Below are 18843 nucleotides of genomic sequence, written 5' to 3'. Positions count from 1 at the left end.
AAGCTTGGTCCCCTCCATCCCCCACCACCCCCACAGCCTCCAGGTGGTCCCAGCCTTAGGACCTGAAGACAAGGCTGGGGCTGGGGTGGAGGGAGGGGCCGCCTGGAAAGCTGTTTGCTCAGCCGGGGTTTAATCTCCAAAACAGGAAGGCCGTATTGACAGAAGCAGCAGCCGGAACTGCTGCGGGCTGCCAGGTTACACTCCCTGGTCCCTCCTCCTCTCCCCACGCTGGGGGGCTCCCCGACAGACCCTGCCCTCAAATACAGCTGCTCCCATCACCTGCCACAGCCCCCCAGGCTGCACCTCGGGGAGACGGTACCCCGCTTGCTCTGCAAGCTGCAGGGAGGCCTGGTGCCAGAGTGAGGCAGGAGGCTGGAGGGGGCTCCGGGGTCACAGGCCGGGCCGGGTGTGACTCTTGGCCTCATTTTGCAAATGAGGAAGCTGAGCCCAGAGAGGGAAGTGAGCTGGTTTGGGTCCCACAGGGTGGGGTGAGGGTGGTCTGCCTGGATGCCCCCACCCCAGGTCTCTAACACTCTTGGGAGTGGCTCTGTCCACCATCACCACTGTCCAACCCGCACAGCAACCCCCGTGCCTGGCCTCCCCGTCCCTGGGGTACCCAGGAGGTCGGACCCAGCTGGGGCTCAGCAGGGCTCAGCAGGGCTGTGGTGCCGTGAACCCTCTGGCAGCGGGCGGACATTATACATCCACCCACTGCCAGAGGAAGCTGCGGAGACGGGCAGGGTGATATGCCAGGTGGCCCCGGCAGCCTCTGAGGTCATTCTGGGCGGGCACTTCACCCAACAGCAACGTCAGGCCCCTTAAGAGCCTGGCGGTCCCTTATCTTCTCCCCGGTGGCTGACTCAGTAGGACCAGGGATCTCCGGGCAGGGCTGAGGGCCGCCCACCCCTAGGTCACCTCGGGGAGCCCACGTGCGTCTCCAGACCTCGGCCTTCCTGCATCTCAGTTCCATGCCCACTGCTTGTCCTGAGCTGGAGCTGGGTGGGAGCTGGCTCTGAGGGCTGTCCCCATATCTTAGAGATGGGGCTCGGCTCTGCCACCCTCCCTTGGCTCCCCACTGCCCAGTTGGGAGGGCTGGCTCTGCCCCTGGCGTCCTCAGGCCACCCCCTGGCCCACTCTGCCTGCCGAACCCCCCAGGCCCTGCCAGGCCCAGGATCCCCACACTCCAGCCGCCCCTCTGTGTCTGCCTGGAGTGCTCAGCGTCTCCACCCCTGTGGGAAGTCTCCTCGCTGCTCCCTCCTCCACTCTACCTGTTGTCTGTTCCTGGGTCCCGTCCAGCCCTCAGCACAGCCCGGCACCCACAGAGTACTCAGTCCAGATGCCGACGCAATGGAGCTGAGCTTCCTGGACTTGGCTCTTGCCAGAAGACTTGGAAGAAGGGACCTTGAAGAGCATCTAGGTCCAAGTCCCATTTCACAGATGGGAAGATGGAGGCCCCAGAAGGCCTCCCAGGCCCACATGGCCAGCAGCAGGTGTCTCCAGCCACCCTTGAAAGTGAACCCCTCAGGCTCACACCTCCGGGTGCCTCCCATATGCCAGGAAGTCCCAAAGTTCTGAGGCGCTGAGGCTCCAAGACTTCCCCTGGGCGGGGTCTTTGGTGGTGCCAGGGGGTGAAGGTGAACCTTCAGGCATGGCGGTCTTTTGGCCAGGCCTGCTTCTCCCTGCAACCCCTCGGAAAGCCCTGCCAGGCTGGGAAACTGAGCAAAAGCTGGACATGCCCAGGCCAAGGGGTGGGCAGCTGGCTGGCCTGCCTCAGCAGGGTGGGGCCTGGGGACCAGTCCAGGCCTGTCCCCAACAACCTGGCCTATGGCGTCTCTCTGGGTGGAGAGTCCCCTGTCCTGGCTGTGTCTCCAGCCTCAGGTGGGGTCCTAGCTGTTTCTTTCTGGTCTCAGCTGCGCCCCCCACTCCAGCCTCCACCCCACTCCCTGCAAACCGGCAGTCACTTGAGCCCTCCTCGGGGCTCTGAGCCCCCCTCGGGCAGATCTTCAGGCCTGGGGCATCCCCAGAGGCTGGGCTGTGCCCAGTGGTGGCCGCCCCTCCCTCCTGTCTCATCCCCACCTGCCATGGCTGTCACTCTATCTCAGCGACCCAGTTTTCCTCCTTGTCTCTGTTGGTGGGGCGGGCGGCCCTGGGGGGACAGTGTCCCCCTTTGTGGCGGGGCGACCGGTGGATCAGGTGTCTCTGGTGGGGCCGGCAGGCGCGTCTGCTGGCTCGGGCCAGGGGCCACGGCTTTCAGGTCTTCAATAGCTCAAGATTAGGTTCCGTCCCTGAGGGCCCCTGTTGTGTGGCCATTGTGATGGCCTGGGAAGCACAGCCTCCGGGGCCAGAGAGTGATGCGTCTCCCTACTCACGGGAGCCCTGGCCTGGGGGCTGGGGTCCCGGCCTCCTCCGGGCCGTTTGGGCACCCTGCAAGTCATGTAGAAGTGTGCACATACAGCCACAGCCAGCACAGGGTCTTGGGGAAGTGTGGACCCCGCCTGCCAGATGCTCCGCTTACTGCCTGGGCCACTGCTTGGAAAGAGGTACTGCTTCTTCACAACCCGATGAGCGGAGCACGGGCTGGATCTCAGATGTGTGCTGCCAGTCAGTGCACGACCTGCACGGATGTGCACAGCGGCCCTGACACTGCCCCGGCCCCTCCCACCTTTCTCGAGAGTTTCTTCAGCTTCGCCACTCCCCTCAGCTGCATCCTCCCACAGGCCCCCACTCAGATTGCAGGGCTGGTCCTCAGCCGCTGGCTGGCAGCTGACAAAACCACAGGCCAATCCCCGCTGGCAGGATGGGGACAGGCTGACAATTCCAGGTCCTAACTGCACGGTCTTGCATTTCCTTCTCTGAAGACTCAGGTGTGGAATGAGCGGGGCTGTGGGTGCAGCGTGGGCGAGACTCCTCTCAGCCTCCCTGGGCCTGATCAAGGTCACCGACCCCCAGCTGTAGTCCCCAAGACTGGCTCCTGATGGCTTTTGTGCCCCGCTCAGCAAAAGCCCAGCTGGGATCCTCTTGGTGGCCCAGACAGAGGTGACCACATAGTATATCGTCTTTCAAGGCTGGGAGGGAACTCTGTTAGTAATTACTCCTGGGGCATACCAGGGCTGTGGCAGGAAACGGAGTATGTCACCGACAGAGACGCAGATTCCCTGGCAGGATGCATGCCGGCCGGCACATGCCTCGGAGCGCGAGAGGGGCCTGTGATCGTGCGGTGCTTACGTGCTTCACGCGTGTGTGCGGAAGCACGGGTGAGCCCGTGGGGAGCATGGCGCGCTGCCACTCTGCACATGTGGGCTGGCCATGTGCAGGGACACGTGTGTCCCTGTGTGCACACACCCAGAGCCCGACCCGGCTGCCCCGAGATGGCTCCCTCCCCTTGTACAGCTGGAGACTCCGGAAGGAGGAGGCGGGTCGGGCTGGCCTCCTGCTTGATGGGGGTAAGACGAACAGGCCAAGGTGGGAGGCCAGGGCCAGGCCTCGCTCGGGCTGGGGCATGGCCCTAACACATGTTTTCTGCCCAGCGTAGTGGCGGCAACCTTGGACAGGAGGTTGGGCCCCATCAGGAAGGTTTTGCTTCAAGAAGTGGGGTCAGCTTCCCCAGTGTTTGCATTCATCCTAACATGTGACTGCCTCTTCCTCCAGGCAGCCTTCCGTGACTTCTGCTGTCATCCCAGTGGCCTCTGTCTCCAGAGCAGGTGGAGCAAGGAGGCTGTCTACTTGCTCCCTGGACCCAGCGGACATATTCCCAGAGACAGGTAGGGTCTGCTTAGGGGCACACAGCCAGCTCTGGCAGGATGGGGCTAGACCCCAAGGAGGGCCCCTCCCAGGTCAGGGCACTTGTGACTATGGCTGCCCTGAAATCCTCTTGGGGCTTCTTGCCGGAGGGCCACTCTGGGCCCCACTGAGCTTTGCTTTAGGAGCAGAGGGCATTTGGGCTGGGTGTGTCCTCCAAGAGCCAGGCCTGGTGACTCCTCTAGGCATGGGGCAGAGGCTGGGGGCTGAGAGGCAGCTGCTGCTGAGGCCTTTGGTAGAGGGAGGCCGGCATCGGGCAAACGGATGGGCCATTCAGGCAGGAGAATCTTCAGGGTCACCCTGGCCAGCCCCGCGCAGCCACCGAACTCTCCCTTTCCTGTAGCTGGAAATATCATTGTGATGTCGGACACTGGAGATGGGACAGGAGCCACACAGACCCAGCTTTGCCCTCCGGAACTCACAGCATCCCAGCGGCCGGCAGGGAGAGAGAGGGCCAGCAAACAACTCCGCGAGGGGGTCCCGCGATAACATGCGAGAAGTGGGTGGAGAACGCCGGGCAAGCCTGGGTAGCCGAGGAGGGACAGACAAGCAGGTGCATGGGCCGAGACATGGAGGGTACCTGGGGACACCATCCTGGGGCAGGAAACGGCAGGTGCAAAGGCCCCGGGGCCGGCTGAGCTGCTGGCTCCCTCGCTCAGGGAGCATCTGAGCAGCACCTCCCAGAAGCCAGGGCTGTGCTCGTGTGCATGGGCCAAGCTTCAGAGAGAACTCGGGGGGCTCCCAGGTCTGAGGGGGGTGGGGGCCAGGGCTGGGCAGTGCAGAGGGTGAGGGGATGTCCTTCCTTACAGAGATAGAATTCGAGGGGAAAGAAAAAGGCCCCCTGGCATCCCTGCCCAGTGCATGGGATTGTGGGGGCTGGGAGGCATCCCGTGGCTGGGCTGCAGGAGTTCCCAGCCAGACCTGGTCCCTTGGGGAATGGGGGTCTGGGAGGCCTTTGCTGTGAGCCCACCTCGACAACCCACCCGACCAGTGAGCAGAAGCCTGAGCCGGGGTTCAGGGATCCATCCGTGGAGTCGCCCCTGAGGGAGGGCTTCCCACGTGGCACCCCACTGAGCCCCTCTCCCAAGCCCTCGCCCCTCCCTCCCAGGTTCTCGAAACCTCCTGCTGTCCCCCCGAGTTAGTGTCCAGGACTGCTTTAACAAATGGCCACAGACTTGGCTGGAAACAAAATATATTCATTATCTTACAGTTTGGGAGGCCAGAAGTCGAGATCAAGGTGCCCACAGGGCTGGTTCCTCCCGAGGCCAGGAAGGGTCTCCTCTGTCCGCTCTGTCCCCAGCAGTGTCTGGCGGCTGCCCGCAAGACTTGGGTGGCTTAGGGAGACCTCACCCCAACTCTGCCTCTTTCTTCACACGGCCTTCTCTCTGAGCCTGTGTGCCCTCTCAACTCAAGATCCTTAACTTAATTACTTCTACAAAGAGCCCTTCTCCAGGCTGGGTGTGGTGGCTCATGCTTGTAATCTCAGCACTTTGGGAGGCTGAGGCAGGTGGATCACTTGAGGTCAGGAGTTCAAGACCAGCCTGGCCAACACGGTGAAACCCCGGCACTACTAAAAATACAAAAATTAGCTGGGAATGGTGCCGCATGCCTGTAGTCCCAGCTACTTGGGAGGCTGAGGCGGGAGAATTGTTTGAACCCAGGAGGCGGAGGTTGCAGTGAGCTGAGATTGAGCCACTGCACCCCAGCCTGGGTGACAAGAGTGAGACTCCATCTCAAAACAAAACAAAAAAACAAAAACAAAGAGCCCTTCTCCAAACAACGTCCCCTTCATGGGTTCTGCGGGTTAGAACTTGGACACATCATTTTGGGGGTCCTCTATTCAACCCACAACACCCCAAAATACCAGGAATCTGGGAAGTTGGGTCTTCTTTCACTGCTGAGCCAGGTCCCCTGCACTTCATCCAGGTGGGCTCGGGAGCCATGGCGGCCTCCCTTGGCATGTGTAAGTTGGGGGACAGCGAGGAGGGCTGGGAAGTATAAGTTGGGGGGCTGAGGCCTGATGGTGCAGGCAGGCCTCTCAAGGAGAGGCCAGCACCGTGCCTGCCCACTAGGAACACGGCCTGTGGTCCCCGCCCCTGTGTGAAAAGAATGGAGAGAAAACGCCTGGCCCCTGTGCCCCCTGCCCAGCTCTAGGGACTGCAGGCACCTGCCTGGCACAAGAAACAGGGGGTGCACACAGACACAAAGATGGGTCCTAAGCCCCAGGCCTGCCATAGACCCCACGTCAGGCCCAGAGGGGCGCACATAGACACAGAGATGGGCCCTTAGCCCCAGGCCCGCCATAGACCTCATGCCAGGCCCACTCACGGGCAGGATGTTTCTCCCCCAGCCCTCAGGTCCGGGCATGAGCTCCGGGCCAGCGGCCACCAGGCCCTGGGCCAGCGAGTCCCGGCTTCCAGCACTTGCTCCACCAGCCGGAAGGTGCTTTCCACCCCATAATCACCTGTGCCAAGCGCAGGCTCAGTTGATCTTCCAAAGCGCCATTTACACCATGTGGAAACCAAGGCTCGGTGCTCCCCCAGCCCGGAGGTGGTAGGGTCAAGATTTGAAGCCAGGTCTCCGAGCGTCCACCTGCTGATGCCTTCCTCGACCTTGACATGCGGCCAGGCGGCAGCAGAGCTGGGAACACTCCTGCATCACCCATGAGCCCTGCCGGGGGTCTCAGTGTCCCCGTCTGCGAAATGGGATAAGGGCTCTGCACACCAGCCTTGCTCCCAGGGGCCAGAGAGGGGAGGGACAGTGTCCCTAGTGACAGATCCAGAAACTGAGGCCAGGAGGCGCTGGCCTGGACGCCCCTGCCCAGCAGATGCGGGTTGGGGCAGGCCCAGGCCCCAGCTGGCCCACCACCTGCTGACCCGCTTCCTCCCAGGGCCTCTGCGGGGAGGCGGTGGGAACTGACCTCCTCTCTGCCTCTCAGCCCCAAGGCGGCCACCCCCTGGGAGGCCTGGTCCGGGGCTCAGGTGTCCCGCACAGCCGGTTCCTCCGCCTCTTCCCATCCTCGCCTCTGTGGAGCCGGGGGGGGGGGGGGGGGGTGTCACTCCCCAGGGGCCACAGGCAATTGTGGCCCTGCTGTTGAGCGGGCTGGCTCTGCTGCCTCTCCCGCAGCCCCCAGGAGGCCGGGCTGCTCAGGTGTGTCCACAGGGACCTCCCCCGAAGCCCCTTCCCACGACCCCTGTGCCCGCCCCCTACGATGTTCATGCCTGAGGCTTTCTCTGCAGCCCCTGGCCCGTGCTGGTGGAGGGCGTCGGCCCAGGTGAGGCTGGTGGGCTGCAGGCCAGGGGCTTCCAAGCAGCTCCTTAGCCACGCAGTCCTCCTTAGGGGTCAGGACCATGACCCCATTTCACAGGTCCTGAAAGGGAGACTCCTGGTGCTGGGGGCCCACAGCCCGACAGCTCTGCAAGCCGACTCCCTGTCTGCCCTTTCCCAGACCTGCCCTGGGTTTGGCAGCAGAACCTCAGGGGGAAACTGAGGCTGAGAAGGGCTGGGTGCTTTGCTCAAGGCCGTCAGCCAGCCCAGTTCATCTGCCTCTTGGATCCACACTCCCAGGGCTTCCATCTTGCCTCTGCTAGTTATTAGCTGGGTGGCCTTACGTGAGTGGCACAACCTGTCTGTGCCTCAGTTTCTTCAGCTGTAAAATGGGAATAACTAGAAGGCCCGCTTTGAAGGGTGTTGTGCAGATGACACAAGGCATCGGGTATGGTACACGGTGAGGGTGCAGTGCCAGGCCGCTGTTATTCTTACCATGACCATTATAATTGTCTCACAGTCCCAGCTGTGCTGGGAACTTCAAAGCGCCGGGGCCTCACCTGTCTTGTTCACTGCCGAGCCCTGGCCATGGGCATACGGTTTAGATCAGGGACTGGTTTTAAAATAGGAGCAGGAGCTTGAATGCAGGTCTGCCTGCCTGGAGGCTGAGCCCTCTCCCCCCGGACTCCCCAGTGAGACCCCCTCCACCAAGCCTGTGCCCTTCACGGGGTCTCTGAGTCCCACAGCTGTGCCCTAGGGGTTGCTTTTATCTGCCTTGCCACAGCCAGGAAACTGAGCCCCAGAGAGGGCAGGCCTGAGGAAAGACCATGTGAGGTTAGTGGGTGCCAAGGAGTGGGAGGATCAGCTGGGGGTGGATGGAGGAAGGCAGGGCTGGGGGCTGGGGGCCTCGGGCCCCTGCAGGCAGGAGGCTGGGCCCATTCCCATGTGGGCGGGCCTGCTCCAACTCGCTGCCTGGCACGGCTGCAGGTGCCCACACAACGGCAGACCCGTGCACCCCCAGCGCAGCCTGTGCCAGCCACCGCAGCCAGAGGGGTGGCTGTGGGCAAGTCTGCTGTCTCTGCCCACCTCCACCCCAGGACAGAACCCGGGGACAGGAGACCACCTGCAGGTACAGCCGTGAGGGCAGCAGAAAGGCTCTGCTACTCCAAGAGTCAGCCCATGGCACAGACAGCTCACACAGCAGCCCACCAGGACATTCATTCATTCGTGCATTGATTCTGCAGGCAGTCATGGGTTCTTGCTGTGTGGCCTTGGGCAAGTCTCATGTCTTCTCTGGGCTGTGAAGTCTCCCATTCGGCAGAGGAGCCCGACCCCCACGATGTGTCAGCTGAGGGTCTCTGGGAGGGGGTCCGGACAGGAAGCGCAGGGTCGGGGCAGCCACAGGCTGAGACAGCACAGCGGCTGCAGATCTTCCACAGTCTCCCCGGAGAGTTCTGGAATCTCGCTCTCACCCACGCACAGACTGCAGGGAGAAGCTCCCCCGCCTGTCCTCCCCGAAATCCCTTCTTCCTGCTGTCCCGGCCCCTGACCATCCCTCCCCAATGCGGGGTGTATGGGAGGCCTTGTTGCCAGACCTCCTGAGAAGCCCTAGAGGTGCCAAACCCCTCCTCAGCTCCTGTGGCAGATGGGGAAACTGAGGCTGACAGGAGCTTCCTCCTCCCACTCTGCCCAGAGGCCTCCGTGACCCTCCCCCCAGCTGGCCTCTCTCACCTCACACCCCCCATACCCCCAAATGACCTCCTCGCTCCCCCCATCTCCCGGGGTCCCGCCCAGCCAGCACACCCCCTACCACACACCCCCCACCCCAAATGACCTCCGTGTTCCGCCCACCTCCCGGGGTCCTAGCACCCTCACCTCATCTTGCACCTCCTGTCCCCTCACCCCAGCATTGCTCAGCGTCCCACCCCGATGGCCCCCACCTTCGGGACTGCCCCTGGCAGGGTGGGCTTCAGGGAGCCGAGAGCCCTGGTGGTGGCTCGTGGGAGGGGGCCTGGGCGTGGGTGTCTGGGCCACAGGAGTCCGAGAGCCATCCCGAGGGGAGAGGGCGTCAGTGAGACGTGGGCTGGGGCTGTTTCCCTCTAGCTGCAGGACCCGCAGGGTCAGTGTCAGCCTCTGCCTCCCCCAGGAGGCCTCAGCCTTTCCTCCTAAGACTCAGTTTACTCAGCTGCCAAATGGGACCATTTCTTGTCCTTCCAACCCCACGAAATTTCCATGAGACACCGAAGGGCAATAAAGGCTGTGGGCAACCCTCAGTACATGCCCAGCTGTGGGGAGGACAGGCTGGGACCCCCACTCCCCATGGCCAAGGGACAGGCTAGATCTCCCACAGCTACCTCCAGGGGACAGGCTGGGACCCAATGCCCCACCACCAGGGGACAGGCTGGGTCCCCCGCACCCCACCTCCAGGGGACAGGCTGGGCCCCCCACATCCCACCTCCAGGGGACAGGCTGGGCCCCCCACACCCCACCTCCAGGGGACAGGCTGGGTCCCTCTGCACCCCACCTTCCGGGGACAGGCTGGGCCCTTCTGCACCCCACCTTCAGGGGACAGGCTGGGTCCCTCTGCACCTCACTTCTAGGGGACAGGCTGGGCCCCTCTGCACTGCACCTTCAGGGGATGCTTGGGTATATAGGGCCTAGGCCCTGGCCAACAGCCACTCACCCACGGCCCAGCCAGGGAGCTGAGAGCTGAGAGCGAGCAGTCACCCACTGCACCCCAAGGCTGGGAGCCACCAGCAGGGGCAAAGCCCATTGAGCTATGGTTCCCGGCCGTCCAAGCCCAAGCCCAGATCTGGAAGCAAACACCCAAGGAGACACTTTCTCCCTGTCCGAACTGCCCAGATGGTGAGCTCCCTATTGGGAGGCAGGTAAGCAGAAGCTGGCAGGGGAGGAGGGCCGGGGAGCAAGCATGAAGTTGGAGTCCAGGCTAATTGGTGAACCTTAGATCACACCTCGGCCGGGAATTCCAGGATCCCGGGATCCTGTCTTCTGGGAACAGACGCTGCTGGAAGGAGGGAAGGTGGTCTCTGAGGTGAGATTCTGGGGCCAGGGAGGAGCTGGCTCAGGTGAGACCCCAAAGGTGGAGTCAGGTCAGCCCGGACCCCGGGGGTGACCAACCCTTTGACTGCTGTTGACCTCAGGCCATACCCCCTCTGCAGCTGAGAACCACTATCTTTCTCTTCTTTTTTTTTTTTTTTTTTTTTTTGAGATGGAGTCTCGCTCTGTCGCCCAGGCTGGAGTGCAGTGGCGTGATCTCGGCTCACTGCAAGCTCTGCCTTCCGGGTTCACGCCATTCTCCTGCCTCAGCCTCCCGAACAGCTGGGACTACAGGCGCCTGCCACCGCACCCAGCTAATTTTTTGTATTTTTAGTAGAGATGGGGTTTCACCGGTCTCTCATGATTCGCCTGCCTCAGCCTCCCAAAGTGCTGGGATTACAGGCGTGAGCCACCGCGCCCGGCCCTCTTTTTTTTTTTTTGAGACCGTTTCACTCTTGTTGCCCAGACTGGAGCTCAACGGCGTGATCTTGGCTCACTGCAACCTCCTTCTCCCAGGTTCAAGTGATTCTCCTGTCTCACCCTCTCGAGTAGCTGGGACTACAGGTGAGCACCACTACGCCCAGTTAATCTTTTGTATTTTTAGTAGAGATGGAGTTTCACCATGTTGGCCAGGCTAGTCTTTAACTCGTGACTTCAGATGATCCACCTCGGCTGAGGTCTCGGTCTCCTGACCTCATGATCCACCTGCCTCGGCTTCCCAAAGTGCTGGGATTACAGGCGTGAGTCACTGCGCCCAGCCGAGAGCTGCTATCTTTCACGCAGAGTGGCAGAGCCTGCCACAGGCCAGCCACATCCTGGGTGCTGCAGGCCTGCCCCCTGGATTAGGGTGGACAGCACGTGATTCTCATGGAGTGCTAGAAGGGACAGTGCCACAGGATGGGGGGGCCAGGCCTGCAGCCTCTCGGAGGAAGGAAGGGTCATTCCAGGGGAGACTTTCGGGGACGCGGGCTGGGGAAGAGCTCACCGCTCCCGACCCAAGGATGAGAAGACTGGAGTGAAGGCCCTGAGGGATGAGCCTGGCTCATTCCTGGAAGGGCTGGAGTGGAAAGGAGGGAGAATAAGGGGTGATAGTGACCAGGGTGCAGGAGAGAGCCAGGGCAGGGCCGGGGACCCTTCTCTCCTCAGGGAGAGGGGCTGACCACCTGGCAAACGCGCTTCCCACCACTGGAGTTCCCAGAGCGGGAGGGCCGGGGATGTGGGGACAGTGGCGGGGACAAAGCGCCGGGGCCGAGGGGCTGGGGACCACGGGGGCTGGATTTATGACCTCCCCTGACCCCGGCAGAGAAACCAGCCTTGTTGGGCATGGCCAAGTCACCAGCGACCAGCCCGGGGGTGGGACAGCCGGGATGAGAGGCCCAGAGAAGGGATTAGCCGCGGCCCAAAGGGCCACGCAGGGCACCATGGCAACCGCGAGACTGGGCCCGGAGAATGGGGCCTGAGTTAACACCCCAATGGGGCTGGAGGCTTGTTAAGCAGCTTACCAGGCGGGCCTGCCTCGCCATTGACATGGAAATCCAGGCCCTCCGTTCCTAGCCCTGAAAGGCCTGTCCCACTCTGAAAGAAGGGAGCCAGGAGGGGGGTTTCCAGGGTGGGTGGGGTGGCCAGGGGGCCAGGTGCTGGGCCGGAACAAGAACCAGCTTCCACCTTCCTCCCCAACCCTCTCGGCACCCCTGCAGGTCGGAACGGAATGTCCAGGACCCACGTAGACTCAGACCCTGAGTGGGAGGGCCTGCGTGTTACCTGGTCTGACTCCCAGGCTTGAGAGGGGCTGAGTGTTACCTGGCTTGGCTACCACTAAACAGGGGTCCAGGGTGGGGCGTCGCTGGGGGCAGTCCTCATTGTGGACGTGCTCTGGCCAGGGGTTGCATTTCCTAAGTGGATGAGCTGGCTCAAGTCAGGCTTGTGGGCCACAGCGTAGGGCAGGGGAAGGTCACCTGGATAGACAGAGCAGGGATCCCAGCATGGGAAGAAGCTAGCACCCCCGAGGCTCGCCTGACCCCTGTCCTCATTCCCAGCTGATCCCAGCTCCAACTACAACTCTAAGCTCCAGTTCCTCCAAGGGCTTGTCTCCAGACGTGACCCATGTCCGCATCAGGAGATTGTCCCAGAGCTAGCCTCAGCCATGTGGGCACTGGGCCCTCCTGTCTCACAGACCCCGGTCCTGGCTCCTTCCACAGGGCCCTGGCCTCCAGCTCTGCCTGCCCCGTTCACCATTCCCCCAGCCTCCACCCACCAGGTCCTGCCCACCTGACCTGGCCACCCCGGAGCTCAGCCCTGGGACCCTCTGCCCCAGCAGTAGACCCCTTCCCAAGACCTCTTGCCATCCCTCCTCTGCGGCTCAGCACCAAGTGGGGGCCTCAGCCTCCCTGACCCAGCCCCATGATGCTGCTTCAGACACCACCACATCTCCAGCCCCAATTGTCCAGAAAATTCACTCGTGTGATTTGCCACAGTGCCCAGCCCATTCCCAGGCCTGGACCCGTGGCAGGACAGTGAGTGGGGGCAGCGGCAGGCCTGGCCTTTGAGACCAGGCTGTGAAGTCTGTGCTTCAGATGGGGCAGGGGTGGGGAGACAGCACCCCCACCCCAGTGTGGGAGGCCCAGACTCCAGCCAAGTGGGGAAAGCCCCTTGGAAGCCGAGATGTGCCGGAATGCGGGGCAGGCCTGAGGGGGTGGCAAGGAGCTGAGCAGGTGTCTAAACCCCTGTTGACATGGGATTACAGCCATCTGGCAGCCCCTCCCCACACAGCCCCCACTCCGGGCTCTGGGCAGGAACCAGGGAGCTGAGACGGGGCAGCTCTGGGCAGGGCCTCAGTCTCCCTGCCTGAAGAGTAGGGTATACTTGAGGGAGTGCAGAGCTCCAGGGTAGGGATGGGGGCAAAGGCAGGCTCTCCATGGGACCTCCGGGTGGGCTCTGCCCTGTCCCACTAAGGGACTCGATGAGGCCCGCACGTGAGAAAGGAGCTTTGGGAGGTTGGCCAGCTAGGAGGTGAGATCACAGCCCTTTGCTGGGGGCCAGGGCCCTTGTGAGGAAACTGAGGCTCAAGAGTGGAGGCTGAGCAGCTTCTTGCTCCTGCCTCCCCTACCCTGGGTACCCCATACCCTAACCTGGCCTCGACCTCTCCAGCTTCAGGATCCTGTTCTTCCTGGAGGTTGTGTGCAGCTTGGAGCTCGTGAGGGGCTACTGTGATCACAGGGTGCGCTAGGCGGTCCTCCAAGCAGGGAGCTGCATCTACGCAGCACCCTCCAGCCTTTACTGGGGTGGTGACACCCGGGCTTGGGGGCCACCCTTGTCACTTCTTGTAGCACCGGCCTGCAGCCCCTGGGATGAGCATCCCAGCAGCTCACAAACAGTCCTGATGAGGAAGCAGCCGGGCCCGGGGTCCACCCCCCCATGGTGTTGGGTTTCCTCCGGGCATGGCCCCAGCTGCACGCAGCTGGCAGAGGTTATGGGGCTGGGAACTTGAGAAGGTTGTGTCCCCCTCAACTCTGGGGGAGGGGCCATAGGCACCCATCAGAGCCGGGGCTGGCTGGCCTCCCCCTCCATCCTCAGCGCCCCCAGCCTGCCATCTGCCTCTGTCTCTCGGGGAAGAGGAGGGGCCGCCCGCATTCCTGCACACGCTGCCCCTCCCTACATCTGGCCCTTCCCACGCCCCCTCCTTCCCCAGCAGACCCTGGGGCCCCCTCCCCATCCCAAACCCGCTTTGACAGGTCACATGGGCACCGGGCCCCACCCCGGCAGGGTCTGGGGACCCTGTCCATGCCCGTCACCCCCTGTTCCTCCTGTGGGTGACTCCCTCAGCCCTTTGACAAATTTTCCCGAGGCTTCCTGTGCGCCTGGTGGCCCCAGACCCTCCTGTGTACTGGGAGCAGGGCCCCCCCGACCTGGGAAGGAACGCCCTGTCCATGGCTGCCCCCAGCTCCTGGACACCCACGAGCGTCTGACTCAACTGGGTACCCCCCACTCCTCATGCAGGGATTGGGGGCTTTAGGGCCAGGGAAGGTGGAGGGAGGAAGAGGGCAGTGCGGCAGGGCTGGTCAGATGGGCAGCTCTGTCCCCATCCTGCACTCCGGGCAGCACAGATTGCTTCTGGGTAGAGGCCAGGCTGGCCGGCTCTTCTCCCTGCAGGTCCGGGATGCAATCACAGCAGAGTAAGGAGGTCTGCCCCTCATCCCATCAGGGGTACCTGGGTGGGACCTGGGAGACCATGGGCTAGAGACCAGGGGAGAGGGTCCCAGAGGAAAGCACAGACACCTCAGGCTGAGGCCAAGCTGCAATGCTTGTTCTCACTGATCCTCAGAGCCTCTCCTGGAGGAGAGGGTACTGAAAATCAGGCCATAGCAGGATGCATAGGAGTCCACCAGGTAGAGAGGGGCGTGCAGAACTCATTGTCATTTCTAAACTCCTATGTGGGCCTGAGAGTTGTGCTCAGACCCCCTTGGGCACTTCATCAATGTACTCAACATTTATTGAGCACTTGGCTGGGTGCGGTGGCCCATGCCTGTAATCCCGGCACTTTGGGAGGCTGAGGTGGGTTTGGATTGCTTGAGCTCAGGAATTTGAGACCAACCTGGCCAACATGGCGAAACCCTGTCTCTACTAAAAATACAAAAAATTAGCCAGGCGTGGTGGTGCGTGCCTGTAATCCCAGCTACTTGGGAGGCTGAGGCAGGAGAATCTCTTGAACCTGGGAGGTGGAGGTTGCAGTGAGCCGAGATCACACCACTGCACTCCAGCCCAGGCGACAGAGTGACTCTGTCTCAAAACAAACAAACAAACAGACAGACAAACAAAAAATGTACTGAGCACCTGCTGTGTGCTGGGCCCGGTGCTGGTCACAGGGACGGTGGGTAGTCCACACAAGACTGCCCTCCACCCCTCGACAGAGGAAACTTCTGGCAGCTGGCTGTGCGGCCCAGTGGTGATGGGAGACAGAAGAGGCCTGGGCTTGCTGGAGGCAAGGTTCGTAAGTGGAAGCTTACCAGGCGTGGGGGAGGCAGGATGTGCAAAGGCCCTGTGGCCAGGATGCTGACAGAGGATGGGACAAGAGGCCAGTGTGGAGCCAAGGTGGGGGCGGGGACACCTAGTCTGGGAGACCTGGGGCCACACCACACCCCTGTGAGTAGAGCGTGGCATGATGCAGTTTGCAGGGGGGTGCTCCCCACCTCAGGCACCCAGCCATGAGAACCTAGAGCCGAGCTTGACTTAAGATGAGCCGGTTTGACGCTTTGGCTAAGGGGACAGAGGGGCACACACGGAATATTCCAGGGGCTGTGTTTGTGCAGGAGCAGAGGTGGGCACACAGGGGCCCAGGACACACAGTCACATACAAAGACCCACCTCTAGAGACGCACAGAGACAGGGACCCGGTGGACTGCATGCACCAGCAGCCTGTTTACCTCCTAACCCTCCCTCCTGCTGCCTCTGCATCCCCCTCATCCCCCCTCCCCCAACACACACAACAGCCGCCAGGCGGGTCCCCTTTCTCTGGCTCTTCAGCAAAGCAGTTGCTCGAGACTAATTGAATTTTCCGCCTGGGAAGGGCTGGGGAGTTGAAGGCGGGTGAGGCTGGGAAGAAGCTTGTTAACAGGTCTGGCCCTCCCCACACCCCCCAGGCCCCCTCCACGGCACCCCGCCCCACTCCCTCCCCACAGGGCCTCCTCTCTGCAGTGGGGGTGGGGTGGTCAGGGGCCCTGGTGGCCGTGGAACAATGGACAGACAGACAGGACCAGCCCACACCCTGCCAGCGCCTGAGGGGCCGTGCTCCAGAGGAGGCTAGAGTGACCTTCTGGGCCTCAATTTCCCCTCCTGACCCAAAGAGAATTGGGAGAATTGGGATTGGGGTGGGAGTCCCGGCTCATAAACAGACTCACCCGACTGTAGGTGTTCGGGGGGCCACCCCTGGAGATGTGGGAGCCCCACCCACTGACCAGATGGCAAGACTGAGGGCCGGGCAGGCACAGGGCTGGGCCTGGGGGCTCAGCGAGGCTGTGCATGGTGGCGGGGGATGAGGAGCCACTACGCCCAGTGTTCAGCCCCACGTGCTGCTCCTGGCCCTGCCCATATTTATGGTTTGAGCGGTGGTGCACACGTGTGCGGGGTGTGCATGACAGGAGGCTGACGGAGGAGCAGCCAGTGGGCAGGCGACCCCCTGCCTCCACCCCTGCCTCCAGCCACCAGCCTCTCTCCTTTTCTTTTTTTTTTTTTTTTTGAGATAGAATTTCGCTCTTGTCACCTGGGCTTGAGTGCAGTAGCAAGATCTCGGCTCACTGCAACCTCCACCTCCCAGGTTCAAGTGATTCTCCTGCCTCAGCCTCCCGAGTAGCTGCTGGGACTACAGGCATGCGCCACCATGACCGGCTAATTTTTGTATTTTTAGTAGAGACGGGGTTTTACCATGTTGGCGTGTCTCGAGCTCCCGACCTCAAGTGATCTGCCCACCTTGGCCTCCCAAATTGCTGGGATGACAGGCGTGAGCCACCGGGCCCGGCCCCCCTCTCCTTTTCTCGACCCCAGTCCCCACACCACTTGGACCGCGAATGCTCAGATGTCACCCAGCCTGGAGGCCCCTCACAGGTGCAGTGGAGGGGATGGCGAGAACAAGGGACTCGGGGGCAGGGACAAGAGCAGGAGGCCCTGACTGCTCCCCGGGAGACACGTGTTGGCCACGTTGTTTCCTCATTAAACTGCCCCTCGGGCCTCCCTGGGGAGCCTCCCTTAGAGGGGTCGCAGATGACAGCACCTTCGCATCTGAGCTAAAGCCAGAGGGAAGTGACAAGGCAAGGATGCCTGGGACCCTGGTGGCCAGCAGTGCTGGAGTCAGGCTTCCTCAAGTCCAGGCTCCAGCAACCCACGTGTGTGAAGTGCCCAGAGCCCCACCCAGCATAGGGCAGAGAGGGAAGATGTGAGGCAGGGGTCGTCTGGAAGGGAGGGCGGTGCTCTGCTCCCACCACAGAGACCACGGAGGGTCCTCCTTGGGCCCAGGGTCCTGCAGACGGGAGGACTCCAAGTCCGGTTCAGGTCCCACCCCTCTTGCACATCCCTCGGCCTGACCCCTTCCCCCTCTGGATGTGAGCAGAGCCGGCCATAGAGTAGGGGTCTCCTGGAGCAGGATACCAGGGAGCCGTGGCCAGCAGAGACCCGGCTGGGCCCACGGGGGGCTCCCTAGCTGCCCCTGCCCCACCCACCTCCTGGCTGACCCCTGGGATACCCGGGGCACTGCCCGCTCCCTTCCTGCCCCCACCGCTTCCTTGGGTCCTGGCCCACAAGACAGGCACGCCTGTTCCTGGAGGGCGCGTGCCAGAAGTCCCCGCGCCTCTGTGGCCTGCACCGCTGGAGATTATAGGAGGACCTCAAGGGGGCCACTGATGAGGCCCAGGGTGGGGCAGGGTGGGCTCGGGCACCTGTGACTGCCCCTTCCCCACTGGGACTGGGGGTGGGACTTCTGTTCACCACCCATCAGTCTCATCCTAACCTGAGTGCCTTCTGCAGACCCTGGGCAATGCTGAAGCACAGCCCTGACCACACCTGTGTCCTGACCACACCTGTGTCCTGACCACACCTGTGCCCTGACCACACCTGTGTCCTGACCACACCTGTGTCCTGACCACACCTGTGCCCTGACCACACCTGTGTCCTGACCACACCTGTGCCCTGACCACACCTGTGCCCTGCTCCAGGATCCCAGAATGGCCCCACCTCAGCACTCTAGGTGGGTAGATGAGGGAAGCAGGTCGTGCAGGCCAGCGTGGGGTGGCTGTGTGGACTGCAGTCACCTCTAGTGGCCCCAAGAAGGGGAGGAGGTTCTGGACCCAAGGCAGGGTGGGGGTGGGGGCAGGGCTCGTCTGCAGGATGAGGCCCAGAGAGGGGCTGGATGTCCTGGAGGGAAGCAAGGAAGGAGAGACGGAGGGAGAGACAGAGATGAAGAGACAGAGAATGCTGAGATAGAACAGAAACAGAGAGAGCAGGGGACAGAGACAGGGAGGGACAGAGACACTGGGAGAGAGACAGATAGGGAGAGCTAGAGACAGGAGGGAAAGAGACAGGGAAGCACAGAGAAGAGGGAGTACAAGGGTGACCCAGGCCCCACCCTCTGATTCGGGGCCACAGGCCCTCCCCACTCCGCCCCAGGCCTGCAGCCCCCCTGCTCTCCCAGTGGGGACGCTGAGGACGAGACTGCGATAAGCTTGGGCTGACTTGGCAGTCAGGATATGATGCTCCTCCTGGGGGCATTTTTTCCCCATCAAATCATCCTGGGCTTGGTCCAAGTCTCTCTCCCCAAGCCCTGGGGTGACAAACTGTCCCCGACAAGATGCCCTATGGCCTTTGAGGGGCCTGAAAGGGGCCTTTCCCATAGCCTCTCCTGGAACCCAGAGCTCGTGCTGTGCTGAGCTCAAGTGGGGCAACAGGGAGCTCAAGGGCATCAGCGAGTTCTGCGGGTCCATGCCCCCACTGTCCATCCAGGCAGTGAGTCCCTTCCATGGCTGCCTGTGGGCTGCACCTCTCTGTGCTGGGGCTGTGCCTTGGACAACACCAGGTCTGAGTTCACTCGGCAAACATCTACCAGCTTCAGAGACAGGGAAGGGCCAGTGACGGCCTCTGTCCTCCAACAGCCCCTCTTAGGGCATGGTGGGTGCAGCCGATGAAGCTGTTTATCCATTGGAAGGCAGGCAGTAACTGAGGCCTCCATGAAGAAGTATG

The 18843-nt window shown here is 62.3% G+C and overlaps 1 long non-coding RNA gene across 1 annotated transcript, besides 7 other annotated features; it reads left to right on the top strand.

The window, feature by feature from the left end:
* Window positions 333-382: a silencer, noted in NCBI's record as "silent region_17874". NCBI's record gives its function as "represses an Ori minimal core promoter by ATAC-STARR-seq in GM12878 lymphoblastoid cells {active_cell/tissue: GM12878}" and the evidence as "EXISTENCE:reporter gene assay evidence [ECO:0000049][PMID:35858748]".
* LOC107986759 (uncharacterized) lies at window positions 2695-5909 on the top strand. The gene is made up of 3 exons (XR_001745066.2): window positions 2695-3036; window positions 3649-3761; window positions 4142-5909. It is a non-coding gene; the product is annotated as an uncharacterized LOC107986759 (long non-coding RNA).
* Window positions 3150-4005: an enhancer, noted in NCBI's record as "nonconserved acetylation island sequence 106". NCBI's record gives its function as "activates a minimal heat-shock promoter by reporter assays in Jurkat T cells {active_cell/tissue: Jurkat}" and the evidence as "EXISTENCE:reporter gene assay evidence [ECO:0000049][PMID:17135569]".
* Window positions 3276-3803: an enhancer, noted in NCBI's record as "H3K4me1 hESC enhancer chr7:2547597-2548124 (GRCh37/hg19 assembly coordinates)". NCBI's record gives its function as "activates a minimal SCP1, AML or CMV promoter by ChIP-STARR-seq in primed H9 embryonic stem cells {active_cell/tissue: H9 hESC(primed)}" and the evidence as "EXISTENCE:reporter gene assay evidence [ECO:0000049][PMID:30033119]".
* Window positions 3477-3630: a silencer, noted in NCBI's record as "fragment chr7:2547770-2547923 (GRCh37/hg19 assembly coordinates)". NCBI's record gives its function as "represses an EF-1alpha promoter that drives an FKBP-Casp9 reporter gene in an ReSE screen in K562 erythroleukemia cells {active_cell/tissue: K562}" and the evidence as "EXISTENCE:reporter gene assay evidence [ECO:0000049][PMID:32094911]".
* Window positions 10486-11451: an enhancer, noted in NCBI's record as "H3K4me1 hESC enhancer chr7:2539949-2540914 (GRCh37/hg19 assembly coordinates)". NCBI's record gives its function as "activates a minimal SCP1, AML or CMV promoter by ChIP-STARR-seq in primed H9 embryonic stem cells {active_cell/tissue: H9 hESC(primed)}" and the evidence as "EXISTENCE:reporter gene assay evidence [ECO:0000049][PMID:30033119]".
* Window positions 11452-12418: an enhancer, noted in NCBI's record as "H3K4me1 hESC enhancer chr7:2538982-2539948 (GRCh37/hg19 assembly coordinates)". NCBI's record gives its function as "activates a minimal SCP1, AML or CMV promoter by ChIP-STARR-seq in naive H9 embryonic stem cells {active_cell/tissue: H9 hESC(naive)}" and the evidence as "EXISTENCE:reporter gene assay evidence [ECO:0000049][PMID:30033119]".
* Window positions 16320-17081: an enhancer, noted in NCBI's record as "H3K4me1 hESC enhancer chr7:2534319-2535080 (GRCh37/hg19 assembly coordinates)". NCBI's record gives its function as "activates a minimal SCP1, AML or CMV promoter by ChIP-STARR-seq in naive H9 embryonic stem cells {active_cell/tissue: H9 hESC(naive)}" and the evidence as "EXISTENCE:reporter gene assay evidence [ECO:0000049][PMID:30033119]".

Source organism: Homo sapiens, chromosome 7, assembly GCF_000001405.40.
Source record: "Homo sapiens chromosome 7, GRCh38.p14 Primary Assembly".
NCBI classification, from domain to species: domain Eukaryota; kingdom Metazoa; phylum Chordata; class Mammalia; order Primates; family Hominidae; genus Homo; species Homo sapiens.
The sequence above is the reverse complement of the archived record's forward strand: the minus strand, read 5'-3'. Positions and strand labels throughout refer to the sequence as shown.